The sequence below is a fragment of the Homo sapiens genome, chromosome 3 (assembly GCF_000001405.40).
Source record: "Homo sapiens chromosome 3, GRCh38.p14 Primary Assembly".
In the NCBI taxonomy this organism is placed as follows: Eukaryota; Metazoa; Chordata; class Mammalia; order Primates; family Hominidae; genus Homo; species Homo sapiens.
The window spans coordinates 9,012,307-9,035,954 of record NC_000003.12 but is presented as its reverse complement, the minus strand read 5'-3'; the positions used below and the strand labels follow the sequence as shown (position 1 = coordinate 9,035,954).

At 44.7% G+C, this 23,648-nt stretch overlaps 1 protein-coding gene across 16 annotated transcripts in view; it reads left to right on the top strand.

Moving 5' to 3' along the window:
* Positions 1–23,648, top strand: part of SRGAP3 (SLIT-ROBO Rho GTPase activating protein 3) — a 382,437-nt gene that overhangs the window by 327,073 nt on the left and 31,716 nt on the right. For 6 of the 16 annotated variants that reach the window (XM_047449335.1, XM_047449333.1, XM_047449334.1 and 3 more), the window contains 6 exons: positions 3,203–3,305; positions 8,960–9,020; positions 10,617–10,694; positions 20,224–20,358; positions 22,113–22,218; positions 22,420–22,647. In XM_047449335.1, coding sequence (XP_047305291.1) covers positions 3,203–3,305; positions 8,960–9,020; positions 10,617–10,694; positions 20,224–20,358; positions 22,113–22,218; positions 22,420–22,647 — 711 coding nt within the window. Of the gene's footprint in view, positions 1–365; positions 453–3,202; positions 3,306–7,824; positions 7,856–8,959; positions 9,021–10,616; positions 10,695–20,223; positions 20,359–22,112; positions 22,219–22,419; positions 22,648–23,648 lie in introns of those variants that run through there. The other 10 variants (XM_024453843.2, XM_024453842.2, XM_011534295.3 and 7 more) reach the window with 4 other exon arrangements.

The following is a 23,648-nucleotide window of genomic DNA, read 5'->3' as shown; positions in this document are numbered from 1 at the left end:
TGGTCTGGATTAGAGGTGAAATCACTTGAGATCTTGTTCAGGCAGATGCAACGCAGTACACAGCCCATGAATAGCCTCCAAGGGCCCGACTGGCATTGCCCTACAGCATTGCCACCATTTGGGATGTTGACCTCCAAGTCTATTAGGTTATCTAGGGGAATTTTTCATCACATCCCTTTAGTTGCAGGATAATTTTGAGGCTATTTCCTGTGTTGCCAACGTGTGTTAATTTTCATCTTGATTAAAAGGCAGAAAGGGGACATTGGTCTCTGGTTTCTCTTTCTTCCTCTCTGTGGCTTTCTCTGTTCCTGTTTTCCCTGCCTCTCTTTCTTTCTTTCTTTCCTTTTTGCTCTGCATCTGAGCAGCAGAAGAGATGGAAGGCTTAGGCTGCCCCACTTTCCTTGGCCGAGCTGCCCCCCTGCTCCCCACTTTGTGCCCCACCCAGCACTTCAGTAAGTCGATATAGATTTGATATTGTGCAAAGTTGGGATAGCTACGTTTCCTTGTCAGAGATTCCAGACAGTGCACAGAGCACCACACAAAGAAAGAAATCCTCGTGTGATTCACACAGTCCTTTGCTTTCTGGATTGGGCAGGAAAAATGGGAAAACATATGCTATTTCCCCTTTTTTCCACTTTGTAGAATTTAAGAAAAAACAAAAAACACTTAGGACTTTCTTTTAAGGAAACCCTCCAGTTGGGCACCGTAGGTTTTTTGATATTGAGTGTCCAACACCTGCTTTTAGAGTCTCCGCTCTTCCTGGCCATGAGAATTTAACAGATAATTTAATGTTACTTCTGGATGTTCTATGATAAAATCACTTTCATACTCACACTAGATCCTTGAGAGTAGGAAGAGCTGAATTTTACCACCAGCCTCAATCACATTTTATTTGTGTGACCTTAGGCAAGTTTCTTCATCTTTTGTGGGCTCACTGGCCTTGTATGTAAAGTGAATTGAATATTCTTTCCCAGCCTCACAGGGTTGTTGTGAGGTTGTCATGCAATGTGATAAGGAAATGATCTGGGAATGTTCAAAAACAAGCCAAACACTATGAAAACAGGGTGACAATGTTGCTATCATCAAGTTATTTCTAATCCCCAAACTTAAAACCTTTGGCCTTGTGTCACATTTTTGACACTCTCTTTTGCCTTTGGTATTTGAAAATTTAAGAGCAGCTCTTGTAAGAAATCCCACCCCACATACATACATCCTCAAAAAAAAATAAGTAATTTTTGAAAAATAAATGACATGGACTTAGCTAACCAAATTGACATAGATCCAAGATGGGCTTGAAAGAATCTTGCCTGTTGTTTCTTTTCAAAATTTTGATCTGTGCTGTTATTTTGTTTCCATTGTTTGGGTGGCATGATATTTGGATTCACCTGGTTTTTGCCCATGCATGTACTGGAGCTAGCAGCATTTGCTCAATACTCAAACACCTAGGAGAAGTTGGTTAGAGGTCCCTGGGGATGGCTGGCTTACCGAAGGAGACAGGTACCACAAGCCCAGTCAGCAGAGGCAGCATGAATCTCATTAATCCTGATTGGCTGCATAGTCTGGAAGATTTCTTGCCCGCTCACAGAAATCAATCAAGACTTGGGGGACCAGGTCTTTGCTTGTCATGTGTGGACATTATCTGTGCCTGGCTGAGTCCCCACTTGTTGCTACCCAAATTTTGAACCAAGCCATTTGAAAATGAACTGCCTCTCTTGGTTAGGGGCCCTCTTCTTAACCTTCAAAAGGCCTTTGCCCCAGAAGGCTGGCACCATTGAGTCAGGCCAACTTGTGTGGTGAAATGAGCAAATAAGCCAACACAGGTATATGCATGGTGAGCAATTCTGGAAACGGGTCCAGTGTTTGTGGCTGTTTCTCTGGTGAACTGTGGTGTGGTTACCCCTCCCTGTGGCCAAGAGTGGAGCACACTTTAGGAATGGAAATCCTAAAGTAAAGCAAGACACTTTCAACCTGATCCCATGGCAAAGGTTACTGGGGTAGATGAGTCCTTGGCTGGAAATAAAAAAGTGCCCTAAGGCTCCATGATGGTGGCCTGGTAGGAAAAGCCCTGAACTTGGAGCCAAAGAGTCCTGGGTTTGGGCTCCAGCTCTGTCAGTTCTCCTTCACAGGAGGCTTCAGTCTCTGCCTCTGTAAAATGGGGCCACATGCACAGGGTTGAGATGGTATTAAGTATAATAATGGATTTGAAAGTGCTTTAATTGAAAATGTACTTGAGGCTGGGTAAGGAGGCTCATGCCTGTAATCTCAGCACTTTGGGAGGCCAAGGCGGGCAGATCACGACGTCAGGAGTTCAAGACCAGCCTGGCCAACATGGTGAAACCCTGTCTCTACTAAAGATACAAAAAATTAGCTGGGTGTCGTGGTACATGCCTGTAATCCCAGCTACTCGGGAGGCTGAGGCAGGAGAATCGCTTGAACCTGGGAGGCAGAGGTTGCGGTCAGCTGAGATCATGCCATTGCACCCCAGCCTGGGCGACAGGGCAAGACTCCGTCTCAAAGAAAAAGGAAAAAAAAAAAAAAGAAAGAAAAGAAAGTGTACTTGACTAAAGAGCAGGATATTACCATTATCCTGGGGTCACCCAGGGACCCCAAAGAAGTTGCAGCCTCCCTCATGGCATCAGTTTCTTCATCTCTGAAATGAGAATAGTAATTGCCTGGCTCTTAGATCAATGAAGTAAAGATCAGTCAAGTGCATTTGAAATGCCAAGAGGCATTAGGAAGATCAGTGCCCTGGTACATTGGGAGTTGAGACTTGGTGATAAATTTAAACCAAAATAATGAAAATTAACCCTCACAATCATTTTTGAAAGTCTCTTGCTTTCTCGGGCTACAGATTACATCTCTCTCCCCTGATTCCCCCTCCATCTGGTCAGCTTTGCAGGATGACAGCCTCTGATTGGAGTTTCAGTGGTTTCTTGCACATGTACTATATTCCCCCTAAGATTTAGAATGCATTTGAGTTATGTAAGAGTTGCTCCTGCTTGGCATTGTGGGTAAATTAAGGTCCCCTAAAACATCCAAAGGCCTTCAGATGGAACATTGGAAACCAATGTCTTGGCGGGGGGTCAGGGGCTTCCATTTACATTTTGTGTTCCCCTTTAGTCGTGGGTTTTAAGAGCATCTTTCCCAGTTGTATGTTTATGTTGGTTGCTTTCTTGATTTCTTTTGTTCCGTTTTCCCCTAGGCCCCCCTGTCTTCCCCCTAAACCACAGAAAATGAGGAGACCTAGGCCTCTCTCAGTGTATAGCCATAAACTCTTTAACGGCAGTATGGAAGCATTCATTAAGGTACTTGCTGGGGAGCCGTGGAGTCCGCGAATGCACCCAATGTAATGGCAGCCTCTGTCCGCCCGCCTCCCTGCCAGCAGACAGCCCTGTCCTTGGCCAGGCCCTGTGGAGCTAGTTCCTCACTGCAGCCTGCTCTTAGCTTCAGCAAGGACTTTTCACGGGAGCTGCCGTGGCTTCTAACCATTTGCTCCTAAGTGCCCTGCGCAATTCTCAGCCCTGGGGGTAGGGATTCAGATCATGAAAGAACTCAGGGAAGTCCAAGTATGGCTGAAATGCCACACTTCATTCACGCTTCATTGCTTCAGCAACTGCAGTCCTAACACCTGAGGGACAGTCAGAGAAACCCCATTCCCTCACTTCACACCTACATCTCCCAAGAGGAGCTAGATTGAAAGCAACACAGAGGAAATCCCTGTGGGTATCAGTGTGTTTTTATACACGTGAATTTTTTTTTTAGTTGCATATATACCAGCAAAGGAAACACATACATTTTTTATAAGAGAAAATCCTCCCACCTAGTTTTGCTTCCTGTTAGGTGGTCTGGGAGAAGGGAGAAAAGTTGAGGTTGTCCCTTTTGAATTCTAGGTTAATCCTTTGTACCTTAAACTAAAAATTGAAGTAGTTTAGCTAGGCGAGTTTCTCTTTTCTTTTCTCTTTGGTGTAAAGGGTATGAGATTAAGCCATATCAGATATAATGGCTCAAGGGAAATTAAGAAGATGGAGAAGCGAAGAGCAGCAGCTGGGGAGATACTTGAGGAAGGGGAGAAGCACTCTTAACATTACTTAGAGGAAGCAGGGAAGTCCCTGCAACTGATTTGAGAGCCCACTACCTTCTAATGAAGACACTTTCTTCAGAGAAGATGATAGATATCAATCAGGAGAAAAAACAAAGGCTCCTGGGCTTTGCCAATGATTTGGGGGTTTTGGAGGCTGCTCGTGCTCCAGCTGTCTACTTGTGATCCTCAGACAGGGTCCAGCACAAGACTTGCAGGACAGCAAAAGACTGGATATATGAGTTTGGCCTTAGGCAGGGGAGGGGGTAAGCAGGACCAGCCTGGGTCCCAGGACTGTCTCTGCCTGTGGGCTGAGTTCTGGGGAAGGGAGAGTGGGGAAAAGGGCAAGTGGAAGACCAGGGCCCAAGTTGGGACTGCCCAGGGTCGAAGGATGTCAGGGGCTGCTGTAGGATGCCTAAGAAGACCAAAGCGTAGAGGATTCCCAAAAGGAAGGGCCCATGGATGCATCAGGAAGGAAGATCAGGAGGTGACCCAGAGGGAGTGGTTTACTGGGTCATGGGAGGGCAGGGCTGTACCAAAGGAATCCTCTGTCTCCATCCTCCCTCCTCTCTCCTCCAAGACTTTCTTCTTTCATCCTTGCCCATAAAAGAGCCATGGTCCATGGCCAAGAAGGGGCTAGTTACTCTCCCTTCCCTCAAGGAGTCAGTAGTGGAGCTTGGGCAATTTTAAACACAAAAGGCAGAAAGTGGAAGGTGATTTAGGATGAGCACCTGGTGAGTTATCCCCACAGAAACAAGTTTAGGATAGGCGCAGTGGCTCACACTTGTAATCCTAGAACTTTGGGAGGCTGAGGTGGGAGGATGGCTTGAGCCTGGTAGATCAAGGCTGCAGTGATCTACAGTCATGCCACTCCAGCCTCGGTGACAGAGCAAGATCCTGTCTCAAAAATAAACAACAAAAAAAAAGAAGTTCAGAGCAAGAAGAGCTATGAGCTCAAGCACAGTAGGCTTCTGGAGGGGCTTTGAGAGAAAGATGGGAATACAGAGGAGAATGAAAGGACAGAAGGAATTATTGAAAGGAAGAACAGAAGGAATGAAGGCTCAGAGACAGGGACATCCTCAGTTTGCTTAGGTCTTTGGAAATGGGTGATCAGTCAGGATACTTGGAAGGAATCAACTCTTATCTGACAGTACTTGACAAGTAGATATTCTGTTGAGTTAAGTATTTTCGTAATAGAGGGGTCCTATATATAAGATGTGACTATAAAGTTATCTGACTTTATTCCTTCTGACCAACACATCATAACCTAGTCAACCACATGAGTGTTTGCCCCTTTGAGACAGTCACCTTGGGAAGCCACCTTCTTACCTGAATGTGTTGGCATTGCTGCAGCTGCTTTGGTCAATCTTCTTTAGAGCCTGGAGCATGGCCTTTACCAGTGGGGCCAAGACTATGTATTCAAATGGACACCTTGTCTTTGGAATAGAAAGCTCCGTTTGAAGCTGAGCTTTGCGATGCCATTGGAGGTGCAAAATGGCAAGAGGAATATGCTACAGTGGGGCTGTTCCACTGGCTCTGAAAAGAGCACCCCAGCAGCGACAGCCCAGAGCACTTGAGCAGTGGCAGCGCTGTTGGAATAAGTGCATCACCTCCTAAGGGGAAAAGTTGGAGGAATAATACTCATTTGACTGGGAAAAAAGGTGTGTTTGTTAAATACTATTTCATTCATTCATTCATTCATTCATTCATTCATTCATTCATTTATTGAGGCAGTCTTGCTGTGTCGCCCAGGCTGGAGTACAGTGGCACAATCACGGCTCACTGCAGCCTTGACCTCTTGGGCTCAAGTGATCCTCCCACCTCAGCCTCCCGAGTAGCTGGGGCTATACGCATGCACCACCATGCTTGGCTGATTAAAAAATAATTTTTTTTTTTTTTGTAGAGACAGGATCTTACCATGTTGTTCAGGCTGGTCTTGAACTCCTGGGCCCAAGGGATCCTTCCCAAGGGCCTCCCAAAGTCCTGGGATTACAGGCATGCGCCACTGCACTTGGCCTTACTATTGCGTTGCTTTATAGTCACACTGTACTCATCACATACCATCAGCACAGTTCAATAAACTCATACTGTGCACCTACTATGAGCTAAGTGGTCAATGTTTTACAGCACAGTTTTACTGTGAAAGATTATTAACTTTCAGAGAATGAAAAGGCAGTATAATGTATTCAATCCTTCAACTATTGAGAATGGAATTTAATTTTCTATTATAATTCACATGCCTTCTGAAAGAACATTGAACTAAGAGTCCCCAGCTTTGAAAAACCACACCTGTGAAAAGTTTTTTTAATAAAATAACATCACTGGGACTTCACAATTATGGTGGTCTAGAGGGACAAGGAAGCATCCCCTGGGTTCATAATCATAAGTAAATGTTGCTGGAGTTTGTTTTATACATTTCTTGGACCCTACCTGAATAAACAAACCCCTTTCAAAATCCTTGATGTTTTTTCCTCCTCCTCTCAGGCAAAAGGAGAACTCATTTTTATAAGAGCCAATTTTGAAGCCCAGGAGGTTCACCTCTGGGACAAGGGGAGAATCCTCTTCTTGTTTCTGTAAAATAAGCATGACAATTACCTACTTCATGAGTTTGTGAGGAAGATTAAATGAGCCACTATATGTTATGTTTCTAGAGCACTGGATGGCACATAGTAAGCACTATGTATTACCTATGATTATTAGCATTAATGTTAGCATATTGCTCATACAGCCTGTTCGACCAGGCTGTTTGCTCAGTTCTGGGATTCTGGTAGATTTAGTCAGCATGTCAGGTAGCAGACAATTCCAGCTGTCGAGATGCTGAGAACTGGACAGATGACTCTAGCTAGAAGGCACACATCCTCCAGGAGCCTGGATGGGACAAGTGCTCACCCCAGAGATGGACCTGCTGCACAGGTGGAAAGAGCCGATGGCGCTCCCCTGAAAATGGGCATCATCAGTGGCTTTTAGTGAAAGTAAAGGCCCCAGTTCTGCCCCCAAGCTCATGAAGGCATTCTGACTCAACTTCCCTTTCTCCTCCAGGCCTTCCTCAGCTTTTGTATTCCTTAATGCCAGTGTAAGGGTCAAGAGGGGAGGAAGGAGAGCAAAGCCAAGTGGATACCCAAGAAAAGCAACTTAGGGTGTACGGCAGGGAAACATGGGAAGCTGTTTGGAATTTGGCATCAGGTGGAAACCTATGGGCATCTATCCAGAGGGTACCTTGTAGACATGATCTTGTTAGAACTGAACTTTTCACCAAGAATGTTTCTTGAGCTGAATTCCAGAGACATTGTTCCAGTGGACATAAAGGTGTATTTCTCTCCTTTTTGTGGGCAGCTGGGAATAACTTATGGGGTCGTAGGTAGCTTTTGTCCATGGGTGCATAAACAGTCCCTTTTGTTGAAGAGAAGCTAGGTACAGGGATGGGAATGGGTCCAGTCCACACAGTTGCTGCTCTTTCACAAGGACTGAAAGAGGCCCCCATGTCAGCTGGTGTCTGGGAGGGCAGCTAAGGCAGCCACATGGGAAGGCTGGCTGGGTGGCTTCCAGAAGTCCCATGAAGCTTCCAGGCTTGAGGGTGGCTCTCCCCACAGGCCGGCTGTTTGGCAGGCTCCCCAGGACCTTGGCTGGCTGCCATTGCATTTCGGCGTTCACGGACTCTGAAGGATCTGCTTACTCTAACTGATCTTATTCCTGCATAATCTTTTCTTTTTCTCCTGCTCTGCTGCCTGTTTATTTTTTGTTATCAGAGGAAGAAGAAATGCTCGAACCAGGAACCAGGTATTTACTAGAAAGGCCCATTAGCCCCATTCACCGTGATGGAAACTGTCTTTAGTGCTGACTTCCAGAACAGAGCCCACCTTGCCTGTTGCTGATGGGTCCATATTCTTGTCCTGTCCCTGGGCACAGTCAATCAAGGAAAGAATTCACAGGTGGGGTGTGGAGGAGCCAAGAACATATCCAAATCCATGCTGTCTTCACAAGAGCATATTACATGTGCCTCATGGTTTACTCACGTTGTGAGGAGGCTAGGCCTTTGATTTGGCCCCTTTTAAAGAAAGTTTAAAAGAATTTGATGCTCTTTAAGTGACCTGGAATAACAGAGAGGTCAACAAATAATGGAATCCAAAAGAAAATGTTTCCCCTCCGCCATAATCATTTGTGGCTGTAGACCAGTCTAGGAAGATGTCATTGAAAATACATTCACATCCCAGGTGCCTGTGTTGAGAATTGCATCTTTTTCAGCCTTTTAGAGTAAGGTTGGCCCCTGGATGGCCAATGGCTGACATCGGCTGCCTCTAGAGCTTTTCCCTGTGACATGTTTACTGTTAAATGCAGTATGCATCTGGGTGTTTACTTGTGACTTCATGAGTAGAACTGGTCTTCTTTTCTTAGAGCTCAAAATTTCCACCAGGGGCCAGCCTTGCTTCCCCCCTGGTGTGCCCTTAATTCTGACATCAGGTACTGCAGTAATAGGATGAGGACTTGATCCTTGAGCACTGAGAAAATAGTGTTGAGTTGGGACAAAATGGAGGGGGAGGCAGAGAACTCTTCAAGGCCAGACTCCAGCACCCCCCCGAGGTGGTTCCCTCTCCACTGCCCAAGTGGGCCTGCCAGGCCTCCTGAGCCCAGGTTCCTTTCCAGTTGGGTAAGAAGAAGAGCATTTCTTTAAAATAATCATAGCTATGCCTTTTTGTGCATACAGTTGAAGACTCTCTATTGTAACTGTCCGTGGAGACTTTAGGATTAGCAGTTCCTTGCTTGTTTTCCTACTAATCTGATGGTACTAATATTCTGGCTTGAGTCTGTAATCGGTGTTTGCAATGTCTTTTTCCTGTGGTGGTTGTCAAGCCCCATAAAACTCACAATTTTTCTTTTCTCAAGGATTCAGGACAAGCTATACCGCTTGTAGTCGAGAGCTGCATCCGTTACATCAATTTATATGGTAAGCTGGATCTTGGGCCAGTGTTTTCAGCAATCTGCAGAACAGGTGCTAGGCTGTTCTGATAGGAAATGAGATTCTAATTTGTCCTGGAAGACTTCCCGTCACAGCTCTGCTTTGGAGGGGGAAAGTACTGCACACAGCAGCTGCTCTTCTGAGTGCTGCTTTTGAGCCTGTGTGTTGAGGGATGGAGATCATGGTGAGAGGATCCAAGACCTAGGAAAACTGGAGAGTAGAAAGGGCATGGACAAGAGAACTCAACCCTATAGCTCTGTGCTTTGAGCACTGAATGGAGTTTGCCAGTAAATCAGCTAATACGGCTAGATTATAAGCTCCATGAAGGTATTAGGTTGATGCCAAAGTAATTGTGGCTTTTGCTATTACTTTTGAATGGCAAAAACCGCAATTACTTTTGCACCAACCTAATAATGATGTCTGGGATTTGTTAACCATGGTGTCACCAGAACATAACTGGTGCTTATCCACTCGTTCATTCCTCCAAAACTATATTTATTGAGTGCATAATAGGCACTGCTTTGGAGAGTGGGAATACAGGCATGAACAAGACAGGTGCAATGCCTGCCCTGCATAGCTTACACTTCCAATGAAAAGGGCAAGGAAATTATCAAGTGGAAAAATAAATAATATCATTTGAGATAGTGCAAATGCCATGAAACTAATTTAAAGAGGATAGAGAATGGCTGGAAAGGAGAGGAGGTGCTTTGGCTAAGGCGGTGAGGAGAGATTTCTCCGAGGGGGTGATGTTTGAACTAAGTAATACCGAGTAGAAGCAGCCAGCTATGCAGTCCAGGTGGAGAGAATGGAGGATGGCGAGTGGAAAGGCCTAGCATGGGGAGGAAGGTCAGTGTGGCTGGGTGGTAAGGAGCCAGGAAGATGGGATCAGAGACTTGGGTGGCAGAAGTTCAATATTGTTTAAGTAAAGAGATGAAGAAGCATTTATTGAGGATATACTATATACAAACCAAACTTTGACCAAAGCCTGCCTTTTGAGAGTAAATACTTCCTAAATTATAATGTGGAAAATTGTTTTATATAGAAAAACAGAGATAGGGAAAGGATCACAGGCTCCCCCATTAATTCTCATTAAGATGAAACAGACCTTTTAATTCCTTCAGTTGTACAGGCTGCTGTTATGTCATTACTGTCATGTCATGTATAAGGGTCTCCTCTTTGTTAAGGTCTTGTAGAAACATGTAAAAAAAAGGGATAGTTTTACTTTAATGATTTAACTTCTCTCAAGTCCCAGCCAGAATATACTCTGGAGTCTAGCTCTTCTTGAAGGCAGAACATGTCTGTGTACAGGGAAGGAAAGGTATTGATACAAACTTCTTGAGGCCTTTTCCTTTAAGCTCAAACAGAAGATCACAAGTGTTTGAAGCAGATGTGTCCAAGGATTTTGGCCAGCTGTACTTTACCGTGAAGGCCATTTCTGGAGACATTCATAGGGAACGACTCTGTTATAAAGGATCGGGGGAGAAAGAGACAAGCAATGGGGAGAGTCACTGATATTCCCGGTAGTCTAATGAACTCAAGGTCTCGTGGATTTACTATTTCTTTTTCTGTATGTTTCTTTTTTAGGACTCCAGCAGCAGGGGATCTTCAGAGTGCCAGGATCTCAGGTGGAAGTCAATGACATCAAAAATTCCTTTGAGAGAGGTGGGTGCAGAGCGACCATCTTAGGCTTGTGGCCAGGGGAAGCCAGGGTGAATATTCACGTGTGTCTCAGAGCCAGTGGTGTGCAGAAGCCAGCCTGCAGTGGTTTGCAGGAGCTGATTGTGCACATCTCTTCCCAACTTCACATGCAGTGCCTTTGTCCTGGTACTTGGAATAAGCCATGGCTGGCGTGTTTACACCAGAGAAATTGGCTAACACTAAGTTCTAATTGTTACCTGCCAAAGAGTTAACTGTTCAACATTTACCTACCACCAGCACCAGCACCAGCACCAGCACCACCACCACTGTTACTACTACTATGACTACTACTGCTATTACTACTATTACTGCTTTTGGGTGGTTTCTCCAGGGGACTGCACAGTGGTTGCTGGGAAAGGGCACCTTGTAAAGAGCTCTGGAATATTCATATGAATCTGTAAATGATGCTACATTTTAGAATTGGAAGAACATAGAAAATACTGAGTGGCTTTTAGGATATCCTAATTTTTAATTTTTTATGCAGTGTTTTTGGCAAGCCACACATTGCGGGGAAGAGATTATACACTCCCTCCAACCCTGGAGAGGTGACCTAGTTCCCATTTTGATTTAAACAAGGATATGAAAGCTTATTAGAAATGAGGTGGACCACTAGACCAGGACACATATGATACATTTGGTGTAGCCTCTCTGGGCCTCAGAATCCCTGATAGGAACAGATGGCCAGTGACAGTGTCCAAGCCAAGTAAGGACTCACTGGGTCAGGAAACACTCAATTTTTCTTACACCTCTGCTTTTGAATATTCAGTGCTTATCTCACTGCTGCACTGAAATGGAAAATCCATGCAGTTTCATTCGAGGAAATATTTTCAATCCTGCTCCCTGATTCTAGAACAAAACCTAGCATTAACAAGACCATAACCTCATCCCAGGGGAGGAAAGAAGAGTTGGAATATCAGTATCCCAAATAATATCTCTGCCTGCAGTTTTCCAATATTTGAAAAGGTCATGTCTCCATAGTCCATGCCTTCTCAACTCTGATTTACTGCCTTCTTCTCTGAGTGGTTCTGGTGCTGAAGACCCCAACCCCATACCCCTTTACTTGCAGTACATAACATCCCAAAAGGTATGGTTTACCCCTGTTGGCTGTACTCTGAGCAGACCTCTCTGTGTGTTTCCACCCATAGAATTCTTCCTACTTATTACCTAGCTCCCCTACCACCCCAAAGGAGCTGCCTCTTGAGCAAATTCTCTGCCTCTCGGTCATCTCCATTCCATCCTGCGGTGGAGGAAGCATTCTGCAGCCCCAAGCAGTACTGCCACGGCCCCCAGGCACAGACCCTCTGTGGATGTAGGTGCTCTGGCTTGGAACCATCTGTAGACAATGAGATTTGGCTGCATGTCATGCTCAGTGGCCTTCTGGGGTCTAGGGGAGCTTCGTTTCTGGAGCCTCCTCAAGGATCTCGGGTGCTTAGAACCAGGGAGCCCCAGGACCTCCTTGCTCCAAGCTCCTACTTAGTCATGTATTCATTCACTAAACAAGCATGCACTGAGCCCTATACCATACAAGGTAATGGACAAGGGCCTGGAAATGCAATATGAACAAAACACAGTCACTACTAGTGGGGGAGCCAGTTTAGTCAACAGCCAGTATAATCAGTGCAATGATAGAGTAGGCATTGGGGAGCATAGGAGGCCCTAGCCCAGCCTGGATGGAGTGGGGAGGAACAGCAAAGCCAGGGAAGGTTTCCTTGGGAAAAAATGCCTAAGCTGAGGCTTGAAGAGTAAGAGCCAGGGGAAACAGGGGCAAAGAAAGGGCATTCCAAGCCAAGAGAACAGCATGTGCAAAGGTCAGAAAGCAAGAGGTCTCTCCCATCTGCGTCCATGATGCAAGTATCATTTGTCATTGCTCTGAGCCTCTCTTGGCAGCACTGGACAGTCCAACCCATAATGTTGTTTCTTCATTTTCCCCAGCTCCTTACATCCCTGCTGCCTTGTCTTCATTTACAATGAACAGAACCATAGTCTGGAACCTTTGCTGGTTGCCTCCTCCTGGGCTCATCCCATTATACAGAATGCCTTGTCACCCTGCCTTGAATCTCGTGGGCAAACTCACTGCATGGTGCCTCCAGCCTGGCAACCACTTTGCCTGGCATTTCCCTGCCTCTCCATATTCTGTATGTAACCTTGTTGCCACGGGCAACCCCACCCTTTCCCTACTCTGGTAGCACTGCTTTTTACCTTCTTGAATGTGATTTTCTAAGGTCAGCACCTCCTGTCACTTGCTTTGGTGCTTTGCAGGGGTGATGTGCAATTTAAAAGAATTCTCTGCTCCTAACAAGCCTTGGGTTGCCTCAGGCAGAGCCCAGCTGGGCAGAGAATGTCTGAACTAAATCTCAGCTGCAAAAAATATTTTTTCCTTTTTCTTTTCCTCACGGATGCAGTTGGCCTCACTCCCTCTTCCCATCGTTCCAAAACGAATCTCATTCTCTCGCCAGCCTGGTCCTTCTGCTCCACCTGAGTTGACAATGGAGCATGCTTTCTTCTGAAAGAATCGTTCTAGTATGTCTCTTTTATAAAAATCCTTTCCTGGATTTTCTGGGTTGGCCGCTGCCAGATTTCTCACTTACTCTTTTCTGTTCCTTGATATTCACCAAGCATATGCCCTGGGTTTGGCTCCTAACCTGGCTGACACTCAGGGCCGCTTCCTCCCACCCCTCCCCAGACTAAGGTCTTCCCTCTTCCTGGCCGTCAGCCTGCTTATCTCTGTGTTTCCCTGGCGACGGGGTGGCCCAAATCTGGGCCCAGCTCAATATTTCTCTTCTCGCCCACTCTTCACATCCCACATGGTTTAACTCGTGACTAAATTTCCTCTCCAAACCAGTATGCCATGTTTTTCCTTTCTTCCTGTATTTTATTTATTTATTTAGTTAGTTAGTTGGGATGGAGTCTCGCTCTGTCACCAGGCTGGAGTGCGGTGGCGGAATCTCGGCTCACTGCAACCTCCGCCTCCCAGGTTCAAGTGATTCTCCTGCCTCAGCCTCCTGAGTAGCTGGGACTACAGGCGTGTGCCACCTTGCCCGGCTAATTTTTTACATTTTTGGTAGAGACAGGGTTTCACCATGTTGGCCAGGATGGTCTCCATCTCCTGACCTCGTGATCCACCCACCTCAGCCTCCGAAAGTGCTGGGATTATAGGCGTGAGCCACTGCGCCTGGCCAGTTTATTTAGTTTTTGAGACAGGGTCTCTGCCTCCTCCGGTTCAGGTGATCCTCCCACTTCAGCACCCTTCCATCCACCAAGTAGCTGGGATTACAGGTGTGTGCCATCATGCCTGGATAATTTTTGTGTTTTCTGTAGAGATGGGCTTTCGCCATTGAACTCCTGGGCTCAAAGCGACGCACCCGCCTCAACCTCCAGAATTGCTGGGATTCCAGGCGTGAGCCACTGCCCCCAGCCTTTTCCTTTTATTTTTAAAATTTAAATCCTCTAATTCCTGCAGGGTGCCCATTCTTCACCAGTTGTTAAAAGGGATTTGGGTCTTGTTCTTCCTTGGCTCTGTTTTTCCCTTCTCCTGAGTAGAGGTCTTCCCAGAGTTCCTTGCTTAAGGCTGTTGAAAGGAGCATGGTTTTCTTTTCCTTGAGCTCCTGAAAAGTGATAACATGTTGGAAATCCACTCCTGGCTTATTATTCCTAAATCTACTTTTTTTTTTCCTTCTCATATGAGTCAACCAGAGTTTTAGTTGGAATTCTTTTTGTTGTTGTCGTCAGTAAATCTTAAACTCACTGCTCAAGTTTTGAGCTCTCCCTATAAATCTTCTGGCAAAATGAAGGAGAGAGAGAAAAAAAAACACATCATGAAAAGGCAAGAATTAGCTACTGAGCTGTGGTTTGCTCTTGTCTCCCAGAGGGTCCCCCACAAACCTCTCTAGGTGCCCTCTTTGTATGCACAGATGGGAGTGCTGAGGTCTCTCCTTATGTGGAGGGGGTGCCTTGCCAAGGAGGCAATGGCTCTCTCCCGCTGTGCATATCTACGCAGGGTTTGGATGTGGGGCTAAAGCCATGCCACGTAGGCTCTAGCACACTCTTGACTCTGGATCTGCCCCTTCTGAGACCTGTGTCCTGCCTCAAGAAGAGGGATGGAACCTGGAGATGCTGGGCGGGGTTGTCATGTCGAGGGGCTCGAGGACCTGTGGCCAGAGAGAACTGCCCTCATGAGAGAGACTGACTCCAAGCTTCCAGCAGCAGGTCTGACAGAGCCTTTAAGCACACACTGTGTGCTCAGTCTCTGCCCTGGGCACAGCCCTGTCTTAAAGCCTTTGGCAACGCCCAGGTGATCTGGGTAAAAGTAAGCTCCAGGCAGGGCAATTCAGTAACAATGCCACCTCCCCAGGACATTAGCTAGCTAAGTGTGAACATGTCTTTCCTTCAGATTTGCCTGGAATTTTAGCTCTAATTCTCCTCCTGGAGAAAGCCGTCATTCACAGGAACCATCCAGCTCGTCTCCAGCTCTGGGATTCCATTCTCAGAGCCAAAACTGACTAGCTTGCAGAGAGCCAAAGGCCTGGGCTAATTGAAAAGAATGTTTGGGCAGTTCAATTTATGGACTGAGAGCCTTGCAGGAGGAATGGCAAGAACTAATGGCGTGTGTATGTGTATGTGTGCGTATGTAAAGTCAATATGCGAATCATGCTTAACAACGGGAACTAGTACTAGGCAACATGGAGGAAAATATCCATGTGTTTTTGAATTATGAGACCACAGGAATGATGTGTGGAGCTAATAGGGAAACAGCTTAATATGGTACAGTTTTTGAATTCCTTAGGCTGCTACAGGGATAGAGAGGGAGGCTGAGGAGGTAAGGCTTGGACATCCCCCACCCCAGTTCAACTAAGACAGCCTTGTTCTATAAGTTGGGATTTCACAGGAATTTTTTACTGAGAAAAAAAAAAGGTTGAGATTCTACTGTAAAGGATGAAAGGAAGGAAGGAAGGAAAGTAGGTAAATATATACCTACCTACATAAGCAGGCATAGATGCAGACAGACAGATCAAAAAATCACAGGTAGAAGAAAGTGTATCTCTCAGGGATTATGAGACCTTGGAGCTGCCAGTATCTGTTGTTGACTTTGTGATTATGGGCACACTGCTTCATCTGCCAGGGCCTCAGCTCTCTCACAGGAGAGAATGGTGGTATTGGAACCATGTCTCCCTTAGTGACATGCAATGCTGTTGTAAGGGTTAGGAGAGTTCGTATGTACAAATGTGCTTCTCACTTGAGAAGTGCTGTGTGAATACAGGTGATTTTTTTGGTGTGTTTATTTTCTCTCTTCCTTCCCTACAAAGAAGTCTTATGGAGGCAGCATTCTCACGTCCTCCAGTGGGAACATTTGAGAGATTGACCTATTTGATACCTGTGTCTGGGCCACCATGCATGATTGTTCACTCTGGGCACTGCACAAGGCTGCCCAGCCAAGAGAACAGATGGGAACTGAACTCTGGCTCATGCTCTGTACACTGCAAGCCTTGGTGCAGGAAGGCAGGGGGACCGTTCTCTAATTCATACTGAAGCATGTTGGGGCTAGGGAGGCTCTGGCAGTGACATGTATTCACTTTCCACAGAAGCAGAGTAAAAAGATCCAAGGATGAGTTTCCAGTTCTGCTTTTCATTGCTTGCCAGCTCTAGAGGTGCTCTTCGCTGTTCAGGAGGAGGAGCAGCCCATTGTGTGGATGTCTCTGAACATCAAAACAGCAGAAGGCTCGCTGCTGCCTTTCACCTCCCCCATGGAAATTCACAGTGGTGAACCTGCCCAGCAGCTCTGATTAAATTGAAAAGTGCTACTCCCCTGAGATAACATTTTCCCTTGTCCAACTGGCAAAAATTCAAAACACTGATGATATGCCAGGGGCAGGGCTGTGGAAAACAACATTCTTGAGATGGTGTTGCTGGTAGGAATATAAAATGGCATAGCCCCAGTGAAGAATTCGACTATGTCTGAAAAAACTGCATATATGTCTACCCTATGACCCAGCCATCCCTCTTCTGGGAACTGATCACAGAAATCTGCCTCTGTGCATACAAAAACACAAGACTATTCACTGTGGCAATATTTATAATAACAAAATAGTGGAAAGAAGTCAAATGTTGACCCCTAAGAGATTGATTGTATAAATTACGGTCTGTCCATGAAGTAGAGTACTTTGCAGCCTTTAAAAAAATAATAAATAGAGGAAGATCTCTGTGAACTAATGTGGAGGGATTTCCAGGATTTCTTGTTAAGTGAAGAAAGAAGTTTATTTAGAAGTATACTACATTCTGTGTAAGAAATAAGAAGATATTAAAAATAGGCCTATGTATTTGCTCACACAGCAAGACAAACCAGAAACGAATGAAAATGGTTAAAAGGTGTGGAGGAGAGAAGGATAAGAGTAGGGCTTTTCTGAGTGCAACTTTTGACTTTTGGACCCTATAAATGCTTTGTGCATTCAAAACTGTAAATTTAAAAAAAGTATTTCTAAAAAAAATTACTACCTAAAATACGAAGAAAACCAAGTGTGCCACTTACCAAATTGATAACTACAGAGAGTAACTTTTGAACATGTACTCCGATCATACATTTTTAGCAGCTTTATTGAGTTGCACACCATAAGGTTCACCCATTTTTTGAAGTATACATTTCATGCAAATCAAAACCACAAATATCATGTCACCCCAGTTAGAATGGCTATTATTAAAAAGGCAGACAATAACAGATGCTGACGAGGATGCAGGGAAAAGGGAACTCTTATATACTGTGGGTGGGAATGTAAATTAATACAGCCACTATGGAAAACAGCATGGAGATTTCTCAAAAAACTAAAAATAGAACTACCATACCATTCAGCAATCCCACTACTGGGTATTTATCTAGAGGAGAATAAATTAATGTATCAAAAGGATACCTGCACTCCCACGTTTACTGCAGCACTATTCACAATAGCAAAGATACGGAAGCAACCTACGTGGCCACCAATGCATGAATGGAAAAAGAAAATGTAGTGTATAATATATAGTAGAATACTATCCAGCCATAAAGAAGAATGAAATCATGTCATTTGCAGCAACATGTATGGAACTGGAGGACATTATGTTAAGTGAAATAAGCCAGCCTCAGAAAGAAGATTTCTGAATGTTCTCACTCCTGTGTGGGAACTAGAACACTTTATCTCATGGACACAGAGGATAGAGTGATAGGTGCCAGAAGGAAGGGTGAGTGGGAGTGGAGAATGAAAAGAGGTTGGTTAGTGGGTACAGACATAGAATTAGATAGAAGAAATAAGTTCTAGGGTTTGGTAGTAGAATAGGGTGACGATACTTAGCAACACTATTTCGTATATTTCAAAGTAACTAGAAGAGAGGACTTGAAATGATACCAACACATAGAAATGACAGATATTCAAGGTGATGGATACCTCAAATACCCTGACTTGATCATTATACATTCTATGCATCTAACAGTTACATGTACACCATAAATATTTAAAATGTTATATATCAGTAAAAGAAAAAATGCATTTCAATGGTTTCTATTATATTTACAGAGTTAGGCAATCATCATCATAACGTTACTTCAGAACTTTTTCATCCTCCCCAAAAGGAATCTTGTACCCATTTGCAAGTCCCTCCCAATATCCTCCATACCCTGGCCACCAGCCCTAGGCAACCACTGATCTACTTTCTGTCTTCTGACCATATATCTCTTGAGTGGGATACATTTTGAAGATAAAAATACTAAACAATAACATAAACAAAAGCCCTGGAAAGAAATCTCAAGTTGTGTGTAGCAGGTTTATTGTTAGTGGTAATATTGCTATTAAAACTGTTACACCATTGATTGTGTATTATAGGATAAAGCAGATGAATGTAATTATTACTAATATTATTCAGAACCAATATTTTTATGGTAAGAAAAAAATGTACAAATACAAAATAAGTGAAGGTAATGAAAACCTTATTGTATGAATAAGAAACATCAGTATGAACTCATGAAAAAAAATTCTAGTTCTATCCACTGAAAGGATCTGGAAGGTCTTTATGACTCTTCTGTAGCAATGAGCACACCTAATACCTAGATCTTGGTGTCTCGATATGAGACACCATATTTGTTTCCTACAAAAAGCAAACAGAGCCCGCTGGAGAAATGTTTGATTCAAGATCTGGATCAAGGAAAGTAAAAAGTAATTGGGGATTTTTTTTGGTCCAGAAAACAAGGAAGTGCTCAATGGAGGTCACATTAAAAGGACACAAGAAAGTATGCTCCCTGGCCAAATTTGGGACAATTTAAGTATTCTAAAAAATAGTGATGGTAATGGGTAATCACAATTCAGTTAAAAATTACAAAAACAAGTTCGTATAAATGTTAATAAAGGGTGAGAGTGGGGGACAGGAAGACAGCTCTTCTTTACAAAAGAATGCCTGCTGATACACAGAGAAGAAATGACATAATTAGAAAGTCACCGTTTTGCAACCCCAGTGGAACAATTAATTTGGGCAAAAATCATCACTGGATGCTAAAACCATTGGGTGAAACATGTTGGGCACTACATGCACACGGTCGTCTCAGAGTATCATCTTGACACTTCGAGTATCATTTCACAGATCATACTTATTACAAAGTAGGGGGAAAATACCTTTATAATGTAGAGATCTGGAGGCCAACACCTTGACCCAGTGATCAAGGTTGGCATCACCAGCAGCAGGACAGCCTGACGTACGTGCCTTCTAATGGGATGCATTAAGGTGTCCATAACATCACCCATGTAGTGTTCTTGCCAAAAATATTTAATTGGAGTCTAATCATGAGAAAACAGACAAATCCAGAGTGTGAGGCATTCTACAAGACAACTGGCCAGGGCTCTTCAGAAAGAGCCGAGATTGTAAAAAACAAACTAGCAAACAAAAATATCGGGGCATATTTTACATTTAAAGGACTCAAGAAAAATAACCACCAAATGAATTGTGTGAATGTTGATTAGATCTTGGCTTTTGAAAAAAAGTCTATAAAAGACACCATGGGACAACTGGGGATGTCTGAATGTGGGCTGTATATGAGATGTTCTTTTTGAATGGTTAATTTTCTTAGGTGTAATAATGTTGTGGTTACATACAAGAATATCCTTATTCTTAGGAGAAGTGTGTTGAAGTAGTTAGCGGTGGTGTGTTTTGATGTCTACAAAATAATCTCAAATAGTGGAGCAACAATAAATATAAATACAGAAAGAGCGAGAAATCAAATGTGGCAAGATGAGTTGTAAGCGAAGGGTGATGGGCGTTCATTATTTTATTTTTACAACTTTTCTATAGATTTAAACATTTTCAAATAAGTTGCAGGGAGAACTTTAAACTTGCTGAAGTGGGGGGCCTCATATGTGGGGGAGACTTTTCCCATCTGCCTTTCCTGTGGTTCAGGCTGGACCAGGTCATCTCTTCGGCCATCTGCACGTTCTCTGACTCCTTCCCAAGCTGAAATATCATCTCGTCTCTTGTTTCCACTCAGGTGAAGACCCCCTTGTGGACGATCAAAATGAACGAGATATCAATTCAGTCGCTGGTGTTTTAAAACTGTATTTCCGAGGACTGGAAAACCCACTCTTTCCTAAGGAAAGGTTTCAAGATTTGATATCTACTATTAGTAAGTATTTCCCAGGTGAAATGATCAGTTTTTTGACAAATCATTGTTGGAGTTGAGCTACAGGCTTACTGCTGTGCTAGGCATAGAGGAGGGACATTATGAAAGGCGAAGTGTGACGTGCATCCTCGTAGAACTGAAAGCGGAAATAACAAGATGGTTTATAATGAAAGGGCTAATGGGCATGTCACACCCCCTGGGTAGAGAAGGAGCTCAGAGGAGAACCAGAGGAAGACTTGGTTTCGCAGATCAGAGCCAAGAGAGAGTGCTGGGAGCAGAGTGTTCCAGGAGGAATGAGCACGGGGGATCCTGGGAAGCGCAAGGGACATAGACCCAGTGGGACCAGCCAAGAGGGTGTCCCAGCCTGTGCATGGTGCAAGAGGTTGGAAGGGGAAAATGGAGCAAAAGGGGGAAGACCTTGAATGCCTTGCAGACATTCCAGAGCTTTTCCCCTTGGGTGATGGGGAGACGTGGAAGGTCTAGAGGTCAGGTCAGCAGCATGACCAGCAAGGGAAATGCTGAAAGTAAGTTGTCTGGGGATTTTTCTCTGACATTGCTAGTTAGTTGTGAGAAACTATTATGTTTCTGTGGATAAAATCAGGAGGAACCCAGTCTAGGGAGCTGATGTCATGGCACCCTGACTCTGAGGTACCCAAATCCAAGGTAACCTTTTGGAAATTTTTTTAAAAAATAAGCTTTCAACTTTAGAATATTAGAATTTTAGTCATTTAGAATAAACTTTTAAATTTGATTCACAGAAAAGTTGCCCCATACCCAGTTTCATTTGGGGTGTTTCTCACAGTACTCTGAGAGATATTTGCAGCCAGGAAAGTGTCCCAGGAGATGGCAAGAGAAGAGGGAGGTTTGAGCTCTTTTTTATTGTGTGTGTAAAAGACCCTTCTGTTCCTCTCTTCCCTCCACACTATTCCCTGCTCATCTTTCCAGACCTCCATACTACAAGCTGTATTCTAGACTGCAGAGGTCTGACCCTGTCTGAGCCCTGTATCACTTGCTCAGCCAGTGTTTCCAGAACCCCAAAAATCCTGTTCCTGTACAGGGCCCTGAGCCAATTTCAGGTCTAGGATGACCTGGAAACAGGGGTCAGAGATGAGATCCCAAGCATCTGCCAGACTTTGGCTGATAGGTAGCTTGAGAAGTGGTGATTTATTCGATGTTCATTTCCTGAGCAACCACTATGTGTCAGGCCTGTGCTGCAGCTGGTGTTTGTAAAGAGTTTAATAAAACATCGTCCCTGCCTGTGTCTGTCAGGACTCATAAGTAACAGAAACCCAGCTTAAACCTGCTTACTTCATAAAAGGGAATGCACTGTTCGGGAACCTGGAAAACTTAGGTCCAGCTGGACTCAGACCTTCACACGGCATCAGCAGATATATGCCCCGTCCGGCTCTATGCCAGCTTCACTCTTAGGTGGGATCCTCCTCTCAGGGGCCCCCACTGTGCTCCAGGCTTCCCTCTACCCAGGTCCAAGAGGGCATCTCCCTGTGGGTTTCTCACAACCAAGTCCGGAGAGTCGACTCTGATTGGTTCTTGATTAGGCCACACCTCCAGCCCCTCCCTGTAGCTAGGGAGATGGATGCTCTGATTGGCCAGGCCAGGATCACCTGTGATCCCTGGAATCAAGAGTAGAGCTGGCTCCCCCATCCACGTGGGTTGATATAGGAGATGTGGCGAGCGAATGTTTGTTGCTTTGCTCTCTGAGGATGAAAGGCACGCTGAAAGGCCCCTTTATGTTACAGAACTGGAGAACCCAGCCGAGAGGGTGCACCAGATCCAACAAATCCTCGTCACCCTTCCCCGCGTGGTCATTGTGGTCATGAGATACCTCTTCGCTTTCCTCAACCAGTGAGTGTCTGGCCAAGGGGCCCCTTTTTGACTCAGGCCTGGCCTCTTTTGGGAGGGGGTATCTTGAGGCTTTTGCAGATGCTGTTTTTAAAGGAGAACATGGAACCCTCCTGGATTTGAATAGGGTCCCCCAAAAGAAAAAAAACACAGGGGGAGGACTTGCCTTTCCCAGATGACTTGTGGGTAACTCCTCTCTCCTAGCCTCTCCCAGTATAGCGACGAGAACATGATGGATCCCTACAACCTGGCCATCTGCTTCGGGCCTACCCTCATGCACATCCCTGATGGGCAGGACCCTGTGTCCTGCCAGGCACACATCAATGAAGTCATCAAAACCATCATCATCCATCATGAAGCCATCTTCCCCAGCCCCCGGGAGCTAGAGGGACCTGTGTATGAAAAATGCATGGCTGGAGGGGAAGAATATTGGTAAGATGCCATTCCTCTTAATATTATTATCATCGTCATTGTTATTGCCATTGAATAGGAACAATAAGAAACCCTTCAGTTTTCTTACTGCTTGATAGTCGGTGCTTCCATATACATTTTCTCATCTGAGCTTCACAGCAGCTTCACATGAGAGATAGGTACATCAGTTAGGATTCTCTTGGTTACAAGGGACAGACATACAACTCAAATGGCCTTTAACCAAATGGGACTTTATTGATTTACTTAAGTAAAAAGTCTGGGGATATATCTTCAGGTATAGCTTGATCCAGGGGCTCAACTATTACCACAAGGACTTGGTCCTGCAGTCTCCATTCCTTGGCCCTGCTTGATTCTGTGTTGGCTTCATTCTTGGATAGCCATTTCCTTGGTGGTCGCAAGCAGGCAACCAGCAACTCAAGATCTGTAACTCACTCTCTTAGCATCTTCAATAGAAAAAGACCCTTTCCTTCCCAAATGTTCCAACACAAGCTCAAGAATTGTGTTTCATTGCTGAGGTTTGGGCCTGGTGAAGTAATCACCTTGGTAAGGAGATGCAATGCTTTAACTGGCCATGTGAGTCACAAGCCCATCTCAGGAAGCAGGGGAGTGACTAGTCCCCACCTCAACTTCATGAACTGACTGTGACACTTCCTACCCTTGTCTCCTCTCACCTAGGAGTTCTCTTTTCCAGACAAAGTGAGCTCAGTTTCTTTGCGTGTCCAACACCATGTCAACAATCACTAGTTTGGGACCTCTGTGTGCCTGGTATACCTGGTACTACACTAGGTCTTAGGAGAAAGATTTTAGAACCTTTTCAAAGTCAGGGCTTTAAAAGCTTCCCCAGGCTAAGACCTTAAAATGTGAAGACAGGAAAAAAATCTTTAAATGTGGTGAAGACAGGAAATTCAGGACACTCAATGACAGAGACCAAAGCATTTCTACTATTTCTTTATTTCCAATTCAGGAGAGCACACAGCTATATATTTAGGTATTACCCACAC